The 2,396-nt window shown below is 42.9% G+C and overlaps 1 annotated feature.

Moving 5' to 3' along the window:
- Positions 806–2,005: an enhancer, noted in NCBI's record as "BRD4-independent group 4 enhancer chrY:22280323-22281522 (GRCh37/hg19 assembly coordinates)". NCBI's record gives its function as "activates an origin of replication core promoter dependent on BRD2, P300/CBP, MED14 and CDK7 cofactors, and independent of BRD4, by STARR-seq in HCT116 cells {active_cell/tissue: HCT116}" and the evidence as "EXISTENCE:reporter gene assay evidence [ECO:0000049][PMID:35650434]".

A 2,396-nucleotide genomic window follows, 5' to 3' on the forward strand; every position in this document is an offset into this window, starting at 1 on the left:
GTCCAGAATTTCTTCTTTCGGGCAGGTTCATGGTCTTGCTCACTTCAAGAATGAAGCTGCAGAACTTGGTGGTGAGTTTTACAGCAGTTAAAGGTGTTATGTCCGGAATTTTTTCCATCAGATGTGTATAGAGTTTCTTCCTTCTCTCATGTTCATGGTCTTGCTCACTTCAAGAATGAAGCTGCAGACATTTACGGTGAGTGTCACAGCACTTAAAGGTGTTATGTCCAGAGTTTGTTCATTCAGATGTGTCCAGAATTTCTTCCTTCTGGCAGGTTCATGGTCTTGCTCACTTCAAGAATGAAGCTGCAGACCTTTAGGGTGAGTGTTACAGCAATTAAAAGTGTTATGTCCAGAGTTTGTTCCTTCATATGTGGCCAGAGTTTCTTCTTTCTGGCAGGTTCATGATCTTGCTCCCTTCAAGAATGAAGCTGCAGACTTTTACGGTGAGTGTTACAGCACTTAAAGGTGTTATGTCCAGAGTTTGTTCCTTTAGATGTGTCCAGAGTTTCTTCCTTCAGGCAGGTTCATGGTCTTGCTCACTTCAAGAATGAACCTGCAGACCTTAGTGGTGACGGTTACAACACTTAAATGTGTTATGTCCAGAGTTTTTTCCTTCAGATGTGTCCAGAGTTTCTTCCTTCTGGCAGTTTCATGGTCTTGCTCAATTCAAGAATGAAGCTGCAGACTTTAGTGGTGAGTGTTACAGCACTTAAAAGTGTTATGTCCGGAGTTTATTCCTTCAGATGTGTCCAGAGTTTCTTCCTTCTGGCAGGTTCCTGGTCTTGCTCACTTCAAGAATGAAGCTGCAGACCTTAGTAGTGAGTGTCACAGCAATTAAAGGTGTTATGTCCAGAGTTTCTTCCTTCAGATGTGTCCAGAGTTTCTTCTATCTGGCAGGTTCATGGTCTTGCTCACTTCAAGAGTGAAGCTGCAAAATTTAGTGGTTATTGTTACAGCACATAAAGGTGTTATGTCCAGAGTTTGTTCCTTCAGATGTGTCCAGATATTCTTCCTTCTGGCATGTTCATGGTCTTGCTCACTTCTAGAAAGAATGAAGCTGCAGACCTTTACGGTGAGTGTTACAGCATTTAAAGGTGTTATGTCCAGAGTTTGGTTCTTCAGATGTGTCCAGAATTTCTTCTTTCGGGCAGATTCACGGTGTTGGTCACTTGAAGAATGAAGCTACAGACCTTGGTGGTGAGTGTTACAGCACTTAAAGTTGTTATGTGCAGAGATTGTTCCATCAGATGTGTATAGAGTTTCTTCCTTCTGGCAGGTTCATGGTCTTGCTCACTTCAACAATGAAGCTCCAGAACGTTACGGTGAGTGTTACAGCACTTAATGTTGTCATGTCTAGGGTTTGTTCCTTCAGATGTGTCCAGAGATTCTTCATTCTGGCAGGTTCATTGTCTTGTTCTGCTCAAGAATGGAGCTGCAGACCGTTAGGGTGAGTGTTACAGCACTTAAAAGTGTTATGTCCAGAGTTTGTTCCTTCAGATGTGGCCAGAGTTTCTTCTTCTGGCAGGTTCATGGTCTTCCTCACTTCAAGAATGAAGCTGGAAACCCTTACGGTGCGTGTTACAGCACTTAATGTTTTCATGTCCAGGTTTTTTTCCTTCAGATGTGTCCAGAATTTCTTCATTCTGGCAGGTTCATGGTCTTGTTCTCTTCAAGAATGAAGCTGCAGACATTAGTGGTGAGCGTTACAGCACTTAAAGGTTTTATGTCCAGAGTTTATTCCATAAGATGTGTCTATAGTTTCTTCCTTCTGGCAGGTGAATGGTCTTGCTCACTTCAAGAATGAAGCTGCAGACCTTAGTGGTGAGTGTTACAGCGCTTAAAGGTGTTATGTAAAGAGTTTGTTCCTTGTGATGTGTGCAGAGTTTCTTCCTTCTGGCAGGTTCATGGTCTTGCTCACTTCAAAAATGATGCTGCAGACTTTTACGGTGAGTGTTACAGCACTTAAAGGTGTTATATCCAGAGTTTGTTCCTTCAGATGAGTCCAGAGTTTCTTTCTCCTGGCAGGTTCATGGTCTTGCTCCCTTCAAGAATGAAGCTCCAGACCTTTACGGTGAGTTTTACAGCATTTAAAGGTGTTATGTCCAGAGTTTGTTCCTTCAGTTGAGTCCAGAGTTTCTTCCTTCTGGCAGGGTCATGGTCTTGCTCACTTCAAGAATGAAGCTGCAGACCTTGGTCGTGAGTGTTACAGCACTTACAGGTGTTATGTCCGGAGTTTGATCCATCAGATATGTCCAGAGTTTCTTCCTTCGGGCAGGTTCATGGTCTTCCTAACTTCAAGAATGAAGCTGCAGACCTAGGTGCTGAGTGTTACAGCACTTAAAGGTGTGATGTCCAGAGTTTGTTCCTTCAGATGTTCTCAAATTTCCTTTCTT

The sequence above is a fragment of the Homo sapiens genome, chromosome Y, assembly GCF_000001405.40.
Source record: "Homo sapiens chromosome Y, GRCh38.p14 Primary Assembly".
NCBI lineage: Eukaryota > Metazoa > Chordata > Mammalia > Primates > Hominidae > Homo > Homo sapiens.